Source organism: Homo sapiens, chromosome 7 (genome assembly GCF_000001405.40).
Source record: "Homo sapiens chromosome 7, GRCh38.p14 Primary Assembly".
NCBI lineage: Eukaryota > Metazoa > Chordata > Mammalia > Primates > Hominidae > Homo > Homo sapiens.
In genome coordinates this window covers 107,597,058-107,617,056 of record NC_000007.14, presented here as the reverse complement: position 1 = coordinate 107,617,056, position 19,999 = coordinate 107,597,058, and the positions used below count along the sequence as shown (strand labels likewise).

Here is a 19,999-nt window from a genome sequence, read left to right as displayed (position 1 = left end):
TTAAAGAAAAGGGTTCTTGGCTGGGCACGGTGGCTCGAGCCTATAATCCCAGCACTTTGGAAGGCCCAGGTGGGCGGATCGCTTGAGGTCAGGAGTTCGAGACCAGCCTGGCCAACATGGTGAAACCCTGTCTCTACTAAAAATACCCAACTTAGCTGCGCATGGTGGCATGTGCTTGTAGTCCCAGTCACTCAGAAGGCTGAGGCACAAGAATCGATTAAATTGGGGAGGTGGAGGTTGCAGCGAGCTGAGATTGTGCCACTGAACTCCAGTCTTGGTGACAGAGTGAGACACTGTCTCAAAAAACAAACAAACAAACAAAATGGGGCTCTTAATGATATCTAAATCTGAGAATCTTATACAGGGTCTCATATTGGACAACGGTGGGGGATGGGTAGGTGAAGGAAAAAAATGTAACCAGTCAGGACATAATAAATAGCATTCTTGATTATAAATATATAAAGTGCTTTCTTATACAGGATCTGGTTTAATTTTCATAAGGTATTACAACCTTTATTTAAGTAGTAAAGTACCTGAGGAGCATAGATGTCAAATGAGTCACCTGTGGGTTACAGAAGTGGTAAACTATGGAGCTGAGATTTTGTTTTCCTTCCAACAGAGATATTATGGGAAATTGGTTTTACAGGTGATGAAAAAGTACACACACCAAACAGGGTGGTAAGGCACCTCTGGGATTATCAATAGCAGAAAAGCCACCACCACTTCTTGGGCTGGAGGGATGAGGGTTATGGAGCCCAGGTGCGAAGGCCAGTATGTAGAAGCTGCCCAGTGGGACCTAGAGGGAAGGAACTGGAGTCATAAAGGAGAAGGCCTCTATAGCAGAAAGAGTAGAAGAAATCCCTGGCTTTCCCCTTCCTCCTGCCTTCAGTCTTCTAGTGCCTGCCACTGGCTAAACCTGCCCAGACTGAGTCAGACAGCAAGGGAGCCTTGGAAACGGGCCTCCCAGAGATACAGAGTAAAGCAGTGGTGAGAGGAGAATGGATCCAAGAACACAATCCAATGATCAGCAAAGGCCAAAGAACATAGTGGTTAATGATGGAGGTTCTGGAGAAAGATTCTCTGACTTTGAATGCTATCACTTTCTAGTTACTTTCGATAAATTATATAACATCTCTGGGTCTCAGTTTCCTCATTCACAAAATAGGGATATTAAAATACTTTCAATTATTGAGCTGTCATGGAGAGTAAACAAAACAACATATACGAAGCCCTTAGCCAAGTGCTTAGTCCAGAGCATACTCTCAACAAATGACATCTATTAAATATTTCAAAAACTGGATACAAGCAGAAATTAGATCAAGTCCTGAAGTGCTATCAAACAAGGCCCTACTCTCGGCATGGTGTCTGGCATAATCTGGGATGGGGTCTTTTCCACAGAAACAGGTATGACAACTATTATAACAACTATTTTCTTGGGAAGGAATCACTTTTTTTTTTTCTGAGATGGAGTCTCGCTCTGTCACCCAGGCTGGAGTGCAAAAGCGCGATCTCGGCTCACTGCAACCTCTGCCTCCCAGGTTCAAGTGATTCTCCTGCCTCAGCCTCCCGAGTAGCTGGGATTACAGGCACTTGCCACCATGCCCGGCTAATTTTTTGTATTTTTAGTAGAGACAGGGTTTCACCTTGTTAGCCAGGATGGTCTTGATCTCCCATGATCCGCCCGCCTCAGCCTTCCAAAGTGCTGGGATTAAAGAAAGGTGTGAGCCACCACGCTCAGCCAGGAATCACTCTTAAAAGCTTTCTACTTCCTTTACCAAGAATGCAGCAGCTCCAGGCTGACTGTGGCTTTTCTGTGGGGAGGAAATGGGTTGAGGAAATCTCACTGTTATATATATTCTTCAGAATTAAGAGAACCAATGGCTGTTACCACAATGGAGACATTCAACAATGGAGACATTCAACAATGGAGACATTCAACAATGGACACTGGCCATAAGAAACTGAAGGCATACTTCTGGTTTTCCTTTCTCCATTCAAAGATCTAAGCATGTCTGACATCATGGCAAAGTCCACTAATGTCGATACTCAACCTGGCTGAGTAAACCCTAATCTCACAAATAGGGGGAAAATGTTGTATTTCTAGGCAAGAGGTCTCTGAAGTGACTTCTTCACTTTCCAAGGTGGACCTTGAAAGATACCACGAATAATTATCATGCCCCAATGAGGTCAGCAATTTTAGGGTCTCTATTTTTGAGACGGGGAAGGGGTGGTCTTGCTGACAATCTACCTATCTGCTCCAGGCCATGTGAACTGAGCCCTCAGTGTCCTGGGATTGGAGCATACAGGGTATTCACCCTTCTCTGGCTACCTTGTCTTTTGCTATTGTCAAAGTAGGCTAGTTAAACCAAACATGCAAACCAACTGGGAATATCAGATTACAAATATGTGCTTTGGGTTACTTAATTACTGGCTCTAAACCAAGGCCAAAGTGGTTGGTTGAGAATAAGTCATTCTTTCAGCAAAATTCCTACAGAGGAAGTAATACAGATGATGATGATAATACCTATCATTTCTTGAGTGTTTACTGTCAGCTAGGCATAGTGCTAAAAAACCTACACATTTTATTTAGTTCTCTTAACAATCCAGTGAGCCAGGCATCATTATTGTTTCAATTTTTATAGATGAAAGAAGTGAGCCCCAAAGGGATGCTATAACCTGCCTAAGATAAAAAACCTAGCATGCAGCCAGGTATAGGTAGGTATTCCAAGTAGGTCTGACTACAAAGTCTATGAGTATAGTGTATGCTTGCCTTGTGCCAGGAACAGTGCTGAGTCTTGGAGATACCATGACCATTAAGATGCAGGGAAATGTGTACAGTGAAATAAAAAGCTATTATTTGTAAAAAGCCCTGACTGAAAGCCACAAAGGCTGCCAAATTTTGAAGACAAGCCCAACCAGTCTGTCTTGGGAGAAACTGGGAGGGAAGGCCAGGGCTGTCTCTGGAATGGTCTCTTCCCCAATTGATCAGAGTGTGTCTGAGAAATCAATTCAGGTTACTGGCTGGCAGCAGAAGGGAGGGAGGAAAGACAAGCCTAACAGGGATGACCATTTCTTTTATTGAATTAGAGAGAAAGAGAAAGAAAACCTATGGCCCAGATCTGACTTTGTGGCTTTAACAATGAAACATTTTTTTCCCATTTCCATCTTTCAAATCAACATTTGGAGGTAAATGATAAATTTGAATGCTAAAGTCTTGTCCTAATATGTCTAAAACACTGAGACAAGAGTAGTGTGATGTGGAACTTGAAATTTTGGCCTCATTTTGGCATGAATATGGCAAACATCCCAAAGAGCAAAACTCACCTTTTCTAGAACCAGTCTGTTTTCCAATGCTGCCATTTTTGTGGCTTCTTTTGCTTAAAAATTCACCAAAACTGGAATGCTGTAAGTATGCAAGTCAGCAATTCCTTAAAATTATCTTGTATTTTCCTGCAATGTCCTAATCTTTACCCTCTAGGTAAAAATCTGGCTTCTTTAAATCGTTTAACAAAGCCAGGATTAAGTACATCATCTTGATTAGTTAAGGACAAATAACCCAAATAATTTACTTAGGTAATTACTATTTCAAAACATTTAGGTGCATAAAGTGCATGTCACACCCACCTGAAGTTCAGAGTGTTCTTTCAGGAGTTGATCATATTCTTTCGAAAGTCTCTCTGACTGCATCTTCATTTCCATCACATCATTTTGTGCCTTAGAAAGGGCTAGAAAATATCGAATAGTTTTATTTTTATTTCAGAATAATTTCAAATTTATAGAAAAGTTACAAGGCTTAAATAGAGAACTCCTGTATAGTCTTTACTCAAATCCACTGTTAACATTGTGCTACATTTGTTATCATATTCTCTCTCTTCACACACACTATTATTTTCTTGACTCATTTGAGAATAAGGTGCAGGCATCGTGCCCCTCTACTCTTCAATACATTTCTGTGAATGTATTTCCCAGAAACAAAATATTATCTAACATAACCATAGTATAGTCACCAAATTTAGGAAACTTAATATGAATACAATACTTTAAATCTAATTTATCATCCATATGCCAGTTTTTGGAACTGTCTTAATCATGTCCTTTAAGCATTTTCTCCACTGCTAGTCCAGGATACAGTGCAAGATCACATATTGCATTTAGTTATCATATCTCTTTAATTTCTTTTAATCTGGAATAATTCCCTACCATTATCACAGCCCTCTTCTCCCCATCTTTCATGATACTGACATTTTAAAGAATACAGGCCACTTTTTAGATAGAATGTTCTTTCACTTTGTTTTTGTCTGATGTTTCCTCATGAATAAATTCAGGTCATGCATCCACTTACATATGAATATAAGTGATATTAAATGCTTCTCAGGGCATCCAGAGGCCCATTACATCCAAAGTTCCTCTGTCCCTCACTGGTTTTTCCATTTTATACTTACAATTTTAACCTTTGTAACTAAAGCAGCAATATATAGGAAGACAATTTAGTCTATGCAAACATCCTGCTCCTCAAGATAATGGCACACAAGAATTACTATATATTGACCTTTACCTACCAAGGAGCTACAAGTCATATGTCAGCAGATTCAGGGCCTTAGATAGAAGTAAAATAAATATATATATATATATATATATATATATATATATATATATATATATATAAAACAATACATTGTGAAGAAGGTGCTAATGAGCAAAATATGTAGAAGAGCTGTACAAAATGGGGTAGAAAAATTAGAGTTGTCATACTTGAAACTTTTATCTCATATAGTGCTTTCAGAAATCATTTTTCCAAACTCTGGGAATCCTGAAGTAGCTCTATATCATATGTAGCCTTCAGAAGTTCTACATTTGGAAGTATTTTAGGGTAGGAGTTTAAGGGAAAAAAGTAGAATTTATAAATTTAAAAGCTACTTTTCTGGCACAATGAAATAAAATTATAGGTTCCAGTTATAAACAATCTTTTCTCTTGAGAAGTCATCATATAGGCATTTTTATATAAATATATAAGCCATTATCAACTAAAGTGCTTTTTGTATCAGTACTTTCTAGACAGTATTGTCAAATGTTCTACATAGTTCTACATCTGCGTTGTCAATACGGTAGTCACTACTTAGATGTGGCTATTGTGAACTTTAAATGTGGCTAGTTTAAGTGAGGACCTATATTTTCAATTTAAGTTCAATTAAATTTAAACAGCCACATGTGAGCTAGTGGCTAGCCATATTGGGCAGCACAGCTCTATAATTTCCTCCATGTTCCTTCTATAGCTGCATAATTCTAAATAAGGTATTAAAGACTGATTTTGACAAATTTAATGTGATGTCACTTGCTAAAGGTATGAGTCAGGTATGGAAGACACTTTTGGGGATGGTTAGATTTCATTAGGACCACCTTCACAACATAAAGAGTTATACGTTAGTTTTCAATTTGGGTTCTACAAGGCATTTCCTAGAGGCTACTTGAAAATATGATGCATGGTGGTGGTATCTTCAGAGCTCAGCAAAAAAGTTTAAGACCCTGGATTTCTGGTACATAAAATACACAGTAGATTCCACAATCTAATAGTGGCTGACTAGCCTGCAATGGTGTTTATTTTTTTTTGAGACAACATCTTGCTCTACCACCCCAGCCAATTTTTAAATTTTTTGTAGAGATGAGGTCTCACTATGTTGCCCAGGCAGGTCTTGAACTCCTGGGCTCAAGCAATTCTCTCACCTCAGGCTCCCAAAGTGCTGGGATTACAGTTGTGAGCCACTGCCCCTGGCCTACAATGGTAGTTTTAAGAATGTTGTTGTTATGGTCCGAATGCTTGTCTCTCCACAAAATTCATATGTTGAAACCTAATTACCAATGTGATCGTATTGGGAGGCGTGGCTGGGGAGTGATTAGGTCATAAGGGTGGGGTCCTCATTAATGGGATTCGTGCACTAATAAAAAGAGGCCCCAGAGAGCTGCCTTTCCCTTTCCATTATGTGAGAACATAGCAAGATGGTACCATCTACGAATCACGAAACAGGCCCTCATCAGAGGCCTAATTTATTGGGGCCTTGATCTCAGACTTCTTAGCCACCAGAACCGTGAGAAATAAATTTCTGTTGTTTATAAGCTACTGAGTCTAGAGTACTTTCTATTAAGACAGTTGGTCAGGTGCTTGTAATGAACAGGAGTTGGTCTTAATGTCAAAAACAATTTATACTTGAATTTCTGACATTAAGAAGTTATTTAATAAATTTAATATATCTTAGATATCAACCCAGTAGTTCCTTTTTAAAAGAAGCTAGAAAACCACTTGTACAGCCTATCTAGGAGTTTCTTCTGGTTACTACTGGTATAAAGTTATTAACGGAACAAATGCAGACAAATACTGTTTTTCTGCCACTTACTAAGCCAAGGTATAAAATGTGTTTCTTATTTCATTTTGTATTTCAGTGGATATTAATAAATCTAATGAATACTATCACTCCAATTAGGGGAGGCTATTATTGTCTAGACACATCTTGGACTGTTTCCCAGTCCTTTATCTCATTTTATAAAAATTATTGTGTTTTGGATGCCTTCCACCTCCTTTTGCAACTGCATCTGTAACCAAGGGACTATATAAACTTGTTATCTGACATGTGAATATGCTTATTTTATTTTGAGGCATATTATTTTGGAAACAGCATATATAAGAAAAATATTATTGGACAAGGAGGCTTTAGATGATACATCTAAGTTGCTACTGCAATTTTCTTAACTGCAAAAACGGGCTGCTATCACTTGCCAGTGGCTTTATGGAAATACTGAGATATTTGCTAAGAATACTGGCTAGATTCAATAAGAGACTGTTATGTCCTAGGTTATGGTCCATTAGATATTTTTAAAGGCACTTGCATCATTTATTAATATAGAAAATGACTTCAACTAATGTTACAGTGACACATAGTAAGCAAAAACATTTGTTGTCTTTCCAAGTGTCAAACGTTCACTTACGGAACTATTTGCAAAAGTGGGAGGAGCTGGTGAGACTAATGTACCGTGTAAATGTATTGTATCACTGTGATTTCGACCAGAGATAGAAACACTGCCAGTAAAGCTCTGCCAGGAAATGGAAGTTTTTAGAGGCACTGGCATGACAGCTAAAGTTGGGCTGTTGTACAACAGCTGTAAGGACTGAGCCAGAGGAAAACATATTTTATTTGAAAAATTTCCATATGTCTAGTGTTGGTTTCTTTCCAATTTATTTGGTTCTCTTTCTGAGAATTCAAGAGTGTGATACACTGGAGCTATTCAGTATTTAATCCTCACATGTACTACTCCTTTGCCAATGATCACTTATTGGATTGTTAATCTACAGTAATGCTTCCAAGATACTTGGAAAGTAGACATACAAACTTCTGTTCAGTAAGGACATAAACTGTGGTTTAATTATATTATCCTTCTTTTGTACATGCCTATATTGTGAGGTCTGTGTAGGTAAAGATTTACGTTTTATTCATCACTTCAATCAACACCTAATCTCTTTTAACCTCACACCCATCTGTTGATAAAGTTTGTTGATAGCTGTTAAGTTCCTTTATAGCTCTCCAATCCATACCTTCCACTCCAGCTCTGTGACCACTGTCCTCATTTCCAGATTAGATTATTAAGTGGATTTCTCACGTAGTTGCCCGTCTACTTGAATCCATTGTCTATAATGCTGTCAAAGTGATTGCTCTTGTGCCTAAAAACCCTCTAAGAGTGCCCTGAAAATGTTAACGTACAAACAGGGCATATGAGGCCCTTCAGGATGGCTTCTAGGCCTACTGCTCAACTCTCTCCACTGGTTCCATCTTCTTTTACACTCCAGTTGCCTTGAGCTCCTTGTAGTACCTCAAAAGTGCCATACTCCTTTGGTTACATGCTGCTCATTTTTGTTATAACACCTTGTCCATCTCCTCCTACTTCATCTGGCTAATTAATGTCATCCTTTAAAATGTCAAGAAAGTGTCGATCTCCAGTGTTGGCTTCTACTACAACTCAAGTTTCACCACACCACGTATTGAATTGAAGGGCAACTATGCCCTTACTAGACTATGGACTACTCAAGAAACAGAGCTGTGTCTTATCTGTCTGAGTACCTAGCATATTGCCTAGTATTGGTAAGTGCTTAAAATATGCTCCTTGAAGGAATGAAAGAATGAATAAATGAAAAGTGTAAGCTTTAAGCATTTGAAAAATTCACTTGTGTGTAAACAGTTCACTTGGAAATGATAAATGTCAGGTGAACAATACAAAGTGTTACTTTAGTCACCTGATAGTAATCTTGATAAAAACACCGTCAATCAAAAACCAAAATACTCAGGATAGCCAAAACAAAGCAAAGAGACCATTCTTGAAATATTTTGATGAAAATATACTCATGTTACAAATATCTCATACTACTCCAGAATCAAAAATAAAATATAAATAAATAGTACCAAAGAATCCAGCCCAATTAAAAAAAATCCCTAAACATTGATTCTAAGAATGGGGCAGGAAATGTTCAAGATAAGCCTGGAGTATCTTGTAATGCCAGAAAGTAAGGAAGTGCTCCAAAAATGAAACAAACAAACAAACAAACAAACAAACAAATATCCAAAATGGAAATGTGTCAAAGGGACACAGGAGCCAAATGAAAGAGCTCCCAATGGTGAAAGCTGGACAACCTGAACAATAAACTAAAGTAGTATTAAATTATAACCCAAATTATAAAATAAATACCTATGAGTCCATACTGACAAACAAATGGTAGACAACAGACAAATCTGTGTAGAATTCCAAACAATTTACACAGATACTCTGCTTTCAAGGAGGTTGAGCGTAACTTCCCTTTCTTATTTTTTTTTTTTTAATCCACTCATTTGCACACTGATCCCCATTTCTGAAGTGTGGGCTGTGAACAGTGATTCACAAAGATTACGGTATGGAAAAAGGAGGGAAAAGAGGAACTTTACAGTTCAGAAACTAGACAAGCACTATTTTAGCCAGGTGATCAAGGTCAACATCAAAACTGATAAGTTATGTTAATAATATGTACTCTTGATACAATGTGATGAAAGCTGGCACCTCTGTGACTTTCAAAACCTATACAAAAGTAGAAAACATGGAATCCAGGCCGGGCACAGTGGCTCACATCTGCAATTCCAGCACTTTGGGAGGCCGAGGCAGGCGGACCACCAGGTCAGGAGTTCAAGACCAGCCTGGCCAACATGGTGAAACCCCATCTCTACTAAAAATACAAAAATTAGCTGGGCATGGTGGTGTGTGCCTGTAATCCCAGCTGCTCGGGAGGCTGAAGCAGAATTGCTGGAACCGGGACCTGGGGGGCGGAGGTTGCAGTGAGCCAAGATTGCGCCACTGCACTCCAGCCTGCACTACAAAGGGAGAATCTGTCTCGGAAAAAAAAAAAAAAAAAGAAAAAGAAAGAAAACATGGAATTCAGGAAAGAGGGTATCAATACAGGAAAGAGGCAAAGGAAATCCTCATAATGATGATGAATATATAGTTGTAATAATATGATATAGTAAAAGTTATGATATATTTAAATTGAAAGGATGGAGGGGGATGGGAAGTATGAGGAGCCAGGAGGGAAACTGGGTGAGATAAAGAGGTCTAAGTCCTCGTCTTCCCTATAACAAAGTCAAAGATAATATCCCATACTGAAAGATCAAGAAAAAACTACCTAAACACTGCATTTAGAAACCTGGAGGCACATATCAGAGAACATTATTTTTGAGACAGGATCTTACTCTGTTGCCCAGACTGGAGTGCAGTGGCACAATCTTGGATCACTGCAACCTGTGCCTCCCAGGCTCAAGCGATTCTTCTGCCTCAGCCTCCCGGGTAGTGGGGATTACAGGCACGTGCCACTACCATCCGGTTAATTTTTATATTTTTAGTAGAGACAGTGTTTCACCATATTTGGCCAGGCTGGCCTCAAACTCCTGAGCTCAAATGATCCACCTGCCCCGGCCTCCCAAAGTGCTGGGATTACAGGCGTGAGCCACTGCGCCCGGCCTCAGAGGACATTTCTAAAGGAGTTGAATGTAGTTGCTTCTGGGGACAGGGCCTCAGGAGACTGCTCTTTTTCATTATAAGCCTTGTGTTACTATTTTGCTTTAAAAATATGTATATGTAAAACTTTGATAAAATAAAAAAAAGTAAAAGGTGCTCCAGATAAATACTCCCTTTTATAACAAAGGCTCTCAGAGCTGGGAAGACCTCTAGAGATCTAGTCCCATTTTTTATTTCCCTAACATAATTATAATGAAAAGAACATGCTAATTTCTTAAATCATTTCTTCTGCAAAGTTTTATTATTCCATATCAATAGTTCTAATAAATGTTCTAAACAAACAGCCACGCTCTAACACTAATGAGAATTGGTTCTGTTTACTGGCATATCCTCTCTTCTCCCAATGCCCTACATTTAAGACTTGTGGCCCCATTTCACATAGCACACTTGTGTTCCCATTTTACATAGCACACTTGTGTTGTGAGCTAACAGATGCATAAAACCTGCCAGATCCTGTCCTAAAGATCCTAAGATTGCATGAAACATTCTTCAAAAGTGAAGAATGTGGCTTAATCACCTGCTGAGCTTATTAAGTTTGGAGAAAGGGAAGTTACTGTGAAAAGATTTTTCTCATGAAAAATAAATATAATTTGAAGGGTCAAAAAGCCAACAATGAAAATAATTCTTGATAGTCAGTTTTGCTTAATTACATTATTTGGAGCTATATAATAGACATTAAAGTTTAACTAGTTCAGTCTCTCATTTTACAAAAGAGAAAACTATGCCTAAAAAGAGTCAATGACTTCACCAAGATTACCCAGTGTATCCTCAGATTTTGCAATGTAATTCATATAACTTAGCAAAAGCTATATGAACAGCTTCTAATATTTAGGGTCTACCAACAAAGTAAAGTTGGAATACAGCCAATTAATTAGATAATTCAAGCCAAAAAACTACCGCCCTAGATTACCTGGGTATTTGGAAGAGGTTTTTTATTTTTATTTTTAAATTCTTTTTACAATAAAAAGCTATCTTTTTCATTAAGCAAAAGAAATTCATTGTAGAAAATAATTTAAACTCTAGGAAAAAGTCATTTGTTGTACATGCTAAGGAAAACCACTATTAATAGTTTAGTGTTTTTTCCTAATTGAAAGTGTTTTAAAACTAGAGTTGTACAGTTTAATTTTTGTAACTCACTTGGCCATAAACATGAACCTGCCATAAGCTGATATCATTAGAAAAGTATTTACCATGAAGGATTGTAGTAAACATGCATATCTAGGTATGGAATAAGACAGTAGAAAAGAACACCAAGGCATTCAAAGTAATTATCTCCTTCGATCTTTTAGGGGCTACATCAATGGACCCCTCAACCATACAGCACAATCATTCACTGCACCTAGTGTGACACATCGACTTCAAACAGACCACTCTGCTTTTTGCTTTGCTCTTCTCACTCAGAACAGTAGTATCATTTCACTCATTTTTCTGCCATTCTATGTCCATCAACACATTTAGAGAATTGTGCTTGATTACATCTTTAACACCTGGAACATTCCTTGATTCAGTATGCATTTAGCACTCTCCACTCATGTTTTTGGTAGACTAGCCCATGTTTCACACTGGGGAGGAAATGAATCCCTTTATGGACATATGTTTGGTTTACCATCTGGACTACAAGCTCTTCTGAGAACAAACTGTTTTCTCTTGCTTTAATGTCCCTCTGTGGAGATTATAAAAGCTTCTCCTCAGGGTAGATATCGTTATGTTTGCTAGTACTGTGAATAATATATAAGGTATCTTTGAATTTCTGTCTTAATATCTTCCCTATAGCTATTCCTCCTGGTTACTGAAAGACACATAGTTTATGAGTATAGGCCTTGATAACAGATAAGAAGCTCACAAGAAAGGGAAACATCACAACTAAATGGGAATGTAACAGGGAACCAAACAGGATGCAATATCATCATTATATATTAGTCCAAGAAAAGTACTCTGATAGCAAGCAAACCCTTTTTTCTGTTTTGACAATAACATCAATATGTGAAGATAACACAGAGATGAACTAATAAATACTAATAAATCCTTTATTTACCTAACTAAAAGGATTGGTCATGAGTTTTATTTACTTTAAATAATTAAAATACTATTAATTATATATTGCCTACTGGCACAACCATCAAATAAACTATATTATTCTTTCTTAATGCAGTTTTTTTTTTCAGTTGATACAAGAAGGGACAAAGGTGTCAAAGAAACAGAAACTTCCAGACATGAAAACAAATAATATGTTTTTTTCTTATTTAAATCACAAAAGTGCATTAAAAGGCAACAAAGCAAAAAAAAAAAAACAACAACAACAACAACAACAAAATGACTAAAAACAGCAAACTGTTTTTAAGCATTAATAATTTTAAAATAAGCTGGGGGCTTTGATATAACTGTAAGTAAAAGATAACTAAGTTCACGTCCACAAAAATTTACAACTGTAAAACATGCTTAGGGTAAACTTAGAATTTATTTTTAGATGAATATATGGTTCATTTGTAAGAAACTGGAAATCATATGGTTTTAAACTTGTATACAAAGCTTATGTCTTATTCTTAACACTGAAGAGGCAGGAATTTAGGGTTTTGGGTATACAGATCAGCAATTCCCCTGTAATTTTCTATCTTGTCTTGATCTCCAATTTCTCTGGAAAAACACTTCAGCTATTTTTCACTATCTGGTCCCTATGTTAACTGGCAATAAAAAGTAAAAAAAACTTAACATCTTCAAGGGTATCAAAGTTGGTCTGCAAAAGGTAATTTTAGTTTTGTTCAACGTAAGTCAAGGTGATATGAAAGCATTTATCCAGGAAGAGAGTTGAATTATCATTATTTTAAGTAGGGGACTAAGGGTTCTGTTTCCTGGTCCAAATCTAGTATCTCTATTGCGTGCTGCTAATACTTAGGTACCCATAATAGGTCTTTACACTCAGTTTCTGATTGTTAGTATATGCTTTAAGAAATTTATTTAAAGTTTGCTTTATCCTCAAGAGGCACACTTTTTAAGGAAAGTGTTAATTATGCTCCACATTAAATGACTTTACAACGACTGAATTACTTGAAAAGTTCTTTTAAAAATTGCTGAGGCCCAGGCACAGCAGTTCATGCCTGTAATCCCAGCGTTTTTGGAGGCTGAGGAGGAAGGGCTTGAAGCCAGAAGTTCAAGACCAGACTAAGTAGCAAAGCGAGACCCTGTCTTTACAAAAAATCAAAAAAATTAGGCGGGCATGGTGGTGCACACATGTAGTCCCAGCTACTCAGGAGGCTGAGGCGGGAGGATCTCCTGAGTCCAGGAGTTCGAGGTTGCAGTAAGCCAAGACTGCACCACTGCACTCCCACCTGGGTGACAGTGAGACTCTGTCTCAAAAAAAAAAAAAAAAAAAAATTGCTGATGAAACAAAGAAGGAACAAAGGAAAGCAGGAACAAACAGAAGAAAGGCATGGTCAAGAAATTTCCCCCAATTACTGTTTTCTCTTTTCCTTTATGTAGAAGACATATACTGCTAATTCAACCTTTACTACAAGATTGGCAAGCCCTAAGAATTCCTTTTAAAATATGGGATGTTTTTTATATCTATATGTATTCCTGCTCCTAAAAGAATGAAGAACAGACATTTCCACATGCAGCTCAATCACTTTTTAAACGATATTTACTTTTATCATTGCTTGGATGCATACAATGACTGAATGCTACATATTTCTAGTTATAAGAATAAAGGAGACCGGGCGCAGTAGCTCACACCTGTAATCCCAGCACTTTGGGAGGCCGACGCGGGCAGATCACAAGGTCAGGAGATTGAGACCATCCTGGCTAACATGGGGAAACCCCATCTCTACTAAAAATACAAAAAAATTAGCCAGGCGTGGCGGCAGGCGCCTGTAGTCCCAGCTACTTGGGAGGCTGAGGCTGGAGAATGGCGTGAACCCGGGAGGCAGAGCTTGCAGTGAGCCAGATCCCACCACTGCACTCCAGCCTGGGCGACAGAGTGAGACTTCATCTCAAAAAAAAAAAAAAAAAAAAAAAAGAATAAAAGAAGGTATTCATTTATGAAAATAAGTAGTTTTCCTGGAAGAGACCTTTAAAATCAATCTCTTTGGACATCAGAAGGTTTTTCCACTAAATGCAATGTCTGTGCTAGGGTGATATTACTGCACGGAAGCACCGGTAATAGTTTACAAACTTTGGTCAAAATAGGAGTTGGAGGTTAAAAACTGAAGGTGTTTGCCACTACTGATAGAGTGTTCTCAGTAGCTGCCTTCAGAATGCCACTTTTTAAATTTGGGGCTAACTAGCTTAAATAAACATTTGTATTTACGTTTTGTTTCCAATAATACACTTGGGAGAAAATGTTTCACTTAGATTTAAGTAACACAAAGGATAAGAAAATTCATATGGAAAACACCCTATTTTCCTCTAAAAAAAAAAATTGCTTTTTTTTAACTCAATTTTCAAATGTAAGATCTCTTTCTAAATCTTTCTTAAGCCTTGTCACCTTAACACCCTCAATATTTAGAAATCAATGAACATTTTTGAGTGGTACTGTGCACAAAGCATTGTACCACTGAATTCATCCAAATCATGCACTATTAATTGATATATTTTCTTAGTTCTTACCTTACTGAATTTAACTGGTTTAGGTCAACAGAACATGACCAAGGAAACACCTTCTTTAGAAACGGAACTCTGATCTTCTCAAGGTCATTACAAATGTTATTTTTTAAAAAAACTTAGGGTAAATAAAACATGTTCATAAAATATTATATGTCTTGCTGGAACCAAACAGGACACACTCGAACAGGTAAAATCTGCCTTTACCTGAACACTAATTCACTTTGAAAGTAGCTCTGCAGTCTATACTTCAAACACAGAAGCTGGTATCAGTTGTTATCAGATTGTAAACACAATGCTTACATTGTCAAAGAGTTCATTTTTTCTAAAATCTGATTTTGTCTTTTAAAGAAATGCTCATGTAATACTAAGTTAAGTTTTATGCCAGATTTAAAGAGTTAAAACTCAAAATATCTCAGAGCTGGAATTTTTGAAAGGTGAAAGGAGAAACTCAATTGTGCAGGGTTAAGAGAAGTGTAGCACACATACACTCTTGTCTATCTTTTATTTTTGTGCCACCCTGCTTACAACATAAGAAAAGAGATTCTTGGTGGATACAGAAAAAAGAAAGCAGGATTTTGAAAGAATATTTTTGTGTTTTGGAAATAGATGGTTTCATTCTTCAAAAGAATTGGTAGCAATATTTTATGCAGGGTTAAAAAAGAACACTAGTTTCTCTTCTGAAATGTCTGTTGTAAACGGTAGGTAACTATTAAATTCATTTTCATATAAACAATAACATTTCTTGATCATGTTCGAAATCTTTTGGAATTACAGAAAAGGCAACAGTACCAACTAGAAGATTCTTGAATTTTGGGCTATACTATGCCAACTACATAATATACCACTTTGTCTATAAGGGTAATTTATTTTTTAACTTATTGCTTCTGAACTGTCTTCTTTTTTTCACTTGAAATAATAAGGAGGAACGTGACTAAAGAATTTTGTATCACATAAATATTCTCCAGTGGATTTCTGTTCTATTCACAGAATTAGCTTTTATTTTTATGTTTTTCATCTCAAATTCAAATACACCCTGATTGAAGTAAACCCTATCCAAACAACGTACCTTAACACCAACTGAAAGTGAGGTTTCTCAGTGTCTGGCCAACATAAAAAACTATCTGTTGTATGCAGAAATGTTGCAAATCATCAAGCCACAAACTTACACTGAGTTTTCTTGGATGACACTGAATTTGGGTTATCTACTTTTCTGTGCTGTGCAGATGCAACAAAAATAATTTGTTCTTTGACTAAGAAAAAAACACTAGCAAAACTTTTTTTTTTAATGTAGAAGAAATTGCTGCCTTCAGGAAAATGGAGTTGGGATGCTCCACTTCAAGCCTACACTGCAATGTTATGTGGGAAGGAGGCACTCAAATTCTTAGCTGACATCCCAGATATTGTTGCCTACTCTGTGCCTACCCACCTCTTTCAAGGAACGCTTTCCTTATGTCTAACAGGTAGAATATATTAGTGCTTGAAATAAACAATATATTTTCTTGTAAGAAAACTGTTCCCCTACAATTGCTTCTCTGAGAGGAGGAATATACGATGATGGAAAAATGTGATTCTTTTTATAAAAACACATTTATAAACAACTTTTTAGGAACACAGCTCTTTTGCTAAGGCAAGAACATCTGTATTTACAACACAGATCTGAAACACCTACATGTTTTTCTGTATAACAGAGCATGTTTCTCTTGGCTGACATAATGTTTTATCTTCATATTTGAACAAGAATTTATAAATAGGTCATTCTCGGTATCTTAGAAGAACATTTAGGCATTAGTTTTGTTTTAGGAAAAACAGTGAAGTGTACAGCATAAAATATCATGCTAGTCTTTTTACTTTTTCACATGTACACAAAGTTACCATCTGAAGTCTTCCTTAATTCAGTTTTCAGTTTCTCCTGGTCTTCTACTAGTTTTTTATTTTCTGCTTCCAAAACACATTCTTCATCTTTACCATGGCTTTTCAAAATCTATTGCAAAAGGAGATACAGGAAGAAATAAGCTTAGATTGCAATAGCCAGACATTCTTACAGAAAATAAGCTGAGTAACCTATCTAAACTTACCTGTTTATAATTTATTCTTTGTCCTTTTCAGAATTTTATAGTTTTCTACAATGTACTTTTGCTAACAGAAACTTAATATTTGGGAAACACACAAAAAAGATTTCCTATTATGGCAAAATCTGTAAAATGAACATAAGAATTTCTAGTTGCTGTGATTAAAATAATATTCTCAAAAGTATTTAGGTAAATAACGTCAGTCTTTCTTCCTCAATTAATGAGAAATGTAAATCTAAGGGAAAAAAACAGTTCTGAGGATGATATTAATTAGAAAACCATTATGTTCTGATTGTAGAGCTATCTACTCAGCCTATTTTTATACAGACAAATTTGTAAGAGAAGAATATGTCAGAGTGGAGATGGGTAAGTGGGAAATGACAGGACCATTTCTACAGCTGGAAAGTTCTAATTTTCATTGAATAGTTTCCAAATTACTGTTATTCCATTAATCCTTTATAATGCTCTTTATATTTTAAAATTGATTCTGGCTTTAAAAATGTTAGTGTTTGTAGCTTATCTTTTCTAGGTAAGAAAAATTAAGATCCATATAGTAAAACAACTGATCAAAATAAAATTATCATGGAGTAAAAATTTAATCATCTGTATTGTGTACAGAAACTATAATTATCATCAGAACTAAGAAGCTGACTTAAAGAAATGATAAAGCATTTAAATTACCTAGAAAGACAAAGTAAATGTTTGAAAAACATAATATGTATACTGTTGTGGGTCAATAGATTAAATAAAGAGGCAGGCAGCTACTTTTTTTTCTTTTTTTTTTTTTAAGAAACAGGGTCTCACTCTGTCACCCAGGCTGGAGTACAGTGGTGCAACCCATAGTCTCTTCAGCCCTGACCTCCTGGGCTTAAGTGATCCTCCCATCTCAGCCTCTTGAGTAGCTGAGACTATAGGCGTGTGCCACCATGGCAGGCTAATTTTACAAAAAATTATATATATATATATGTGTGCATATATATATTTATATATATATATATAAAATTTATATATAATTTATATATAAAAATTATATATAAATATATATATAAAAATTATATATATTTATATATAAATATATATAATTATGTATATATATATTTATAAATATGTATTTATATACATATAAATTTTAATATATTTATATATTTATAAATATATATTTATATACATATAAATTTTTAATATATTTATATATTTATAAATATATATTTATATACATATAAATTTTTAATATATTTATATATTTATAAATATATTTTATATATATACAAATTTTTAATATAAATTTATATATATAAATTTGTAGATCTATAAATATATATAAATTTATAGATATATAAATTTATATATACACGTGTGCACATATATGTGCGTGCGTGTGTGTGTGTGTGTGTGTGTGTGTGTGTGTGTGTGTATACTGTATTGCCCAGGCTGGTCTTAAATTCCTGGCCTCAAGCAATCTTCTCACCTCAGCCTCCCAAAGTGCTAAGATGACAGGCATCAGCCACTGCACCTGGCCAGTGGCAGCAACTTGATACTGACAGGTTCTATAGTCAGGTAAAAAAGGAACACAGGAGAATTTTAAACAGACTAACATAAGAGGAATTTCACTGCAGGGTGATTCATTTTCTAATGTAAGCCAATATATTCATCAAAATACAAAGTTCTACTGAGCAATGACTACATGCAAATATTTTTACAATGTAAGGTGCTGTAAGAGATAAAAATATAAGAGAAACATGGTCTCTACTTTTGAATAACTTCAATCTAGTAGAAAGGACGAAACGAGCATAAAAACTGTAGCACAAGACCAAATACAGTACTACTGTGCTATATAGAGATTAGGCAGCTCAGAGAAGGAATTAAAGCTCTAATGCATATATTATATAATCCCAAGGACTGTTTTTTGGAGAAGGGAGGATTGAAATACATTCTGAAACTAAAGGAGCCTCATATCTTCTCAAATTAAAAGTTTTTCTTTTTTGTAAAGAGCAGCACAAGAAAAAAATTTCTCCAAATCTCTTTTAATGTGTTGCCTACTTCAAGTTGAAAACAACTCCAGCTATTACTTCACTGAATTCAGTTCATAAAATCTCCAGTGATTACCCAAATTAGAAGAGAATCATTGAGTTGCAGGAACGTTTTCGCTGACTGCTTGAATTTTCATGCCATTGACTTGGAAAAGGTGGATTTGTGTTAGTCTTGTAAATAAGCTTTCACTACTGCACCTGTAAACTTGCCTAAATTTATGATGTGTAACTTGACGCTGGAGAAAGACCAAGAACACTGAAATCTGAAATTTAATGATTACCAGCTACAACAATGCAAGCGTTCACTGTCTAATCCAAATTATCCCACCTTGGTTAAGTTACGTGGCTGGAAAAAAAAATCAGGACAAAGTAAAGCTCTATCACACTGAAGAAGTAAAATTAAAAGTTAATTGGTCTTTCATAATTATTTCATTTCTTTAACTGAATATCAGAACAGAAAGTGGTCATAGGTACCACGTGGAAATTGTTCTATCAGATAACATAGGAGTTGAGGGCACAAAATAATGTGGTTATGAATGTGGATTCTAGAGTCAGGCTGCTTAGGTTCAAATTTTAGTTCTGTCACATATTAGTTGAATGATCTTGTACAAGTCACTTAACCTTTCTATGCCTCCATTTCCTCATCTATAAAATGCAGATAATAACAATACCAAACTCAAGGGACTTTTGTGAAAATTAACAGTTAAAAACCTTGTTGTGAAGCATATGAAGCAATACCTGGCACAATGTTAACTATTATTTATAGCTAAGGAACTTTGAGGCCCATTAACATAGGTGATTTGTGCTAGGTCACATGTTGGAACTAGCACCTAAGTCTCTCGGATCTCAGGGTAATGCAGTTTCCACTGGATAATGTGTCTCTGATAGAGAATGAAGAGGTATGGCTGGGCGCGGTAACTCTTGCCTATAATCCCAGCACTTCTGGAGGCCAAGGTGGGAAGACTGCTTGAGGCCAAAAGTTTGAGATCAGTCTGGGGAGGAAGGGAGGGAAGGAGAGGAAAGGAAAGAAAGGAAGGAAGGACAAAACAAAGGGGGTGTTTTCACAAGCTTATCTTTCCTTAGCTTATTTTTCAAAACCTACATGAAGTACCTTGAAACAGACGTCATCTTTTATATTCTCACTTATGGCCTTTGTTGGTCACTTTATTGGTCAATTAGTTATACTCTGGGCACTGACAGCTGCTTTTATGTGCTGCTCAA

General features: G+C 36.2%; 2 protein-coding genes and 1 pseudogene across 30 annotated transcripts in view, besides 1 other annotated feature; all 3 read right to left on the bottom strand.

Annotated features, from left to right (window-relative positions):
- DUS4L-BCAP29 (DUS4L-BCAP29 readthrough) overlaps positions 1 to 19,999 on the bottom strand; it is a 59,347-nt gene that overhangs the window by 6,261 nt on the left and 33,087 nt on the right. For 5 of the 7 annotated variants that reach the window (NR_163939.2, NR_163941.2, NM_001371365.2 and 2 more), the window contains 2 exons: positions 16,552 to 16,660; positions 3,625 to 3,725 (listed from right to left, as the gene is read on the bottom strand). Coding sequence is in view for 4 of the 7 variants with exons in the window: in NM_001371365.2 (NP_001358294.1) it covers positions 3,625 to 3,725; positions 16,552 to 16,660 (210 nt within the window). In the remaining 3 variants the exon portion in view is untranslated. Of the gene's footprint in view, positions 1 to 3,324; positions 3,404 to 3,624; positions 3,726 to 16,551; positions 16,661 to 19,999 lie in introns of all 7 variants that reach the window. The other 2 variants (NR_163940.2, NM_001371364.2) reach the window with 1 other exon arrangement.
- BCAP29 (B cell receptor associated protein 29) overlaps positions 1 to 19,999 on the bottom strand; it is a 43,311-nt gene that overhangs the window by 6,261 nt on the left and 17,051 nt on the right. For 13 of the 23 annotated variants that reach the window (NR_163927.1, NR_163935.1, NR_163931.1 and 10 more), the window contains 2 exons: positions 16,552 to 16,660; positions 3,625 to 3,725 (listed from right to left, as the gene is read on the bottom strand). Coding sequence is in view for 9 of the 23 variants with exons in the window: in NM_001371355.1 (NP_001358284.1) it covers positions 3,625 to 3,725; positions 16,552 to 16,660 (210 nt within the window). In the remaining 14 variants the exon portion in view is untranslated. Of the gene's footprint in view, positions 1 to 667; positions 797 to 3,324; positions 3,404 to 3,624; positions 3,726 to 16,527; positions 16,661 to 16,754; positions 16,874 to 19,999 lie in introns of all 23 variants that reach the window. The other 10 variants (NR_163937.1, NR_163933.1, NM_001363483.2 and 7 more) reach the window with 7 other exon arrangements.
- Positions 6,919 to 7,213: a silencer, noted in NCBI's record as "tiled region #6605; HepG2 Repressive non-DNase unmatched - State 16:ElonW". NCBI's record gives its function as "represses a minimal TATA promoter and a strong SV40 promoter by Sharpr-MPRA in HepG2 cells {active_cell/tissue: HepG2}" and the evidence as "EXISTENCE:reporter gene assay evidence [ECO:0000049][PMID:27701403]".
- On the bottom strand, positions 13,550 to 13,694 carry LOC124901856 (uncharacterized; annotated as a pseudogene).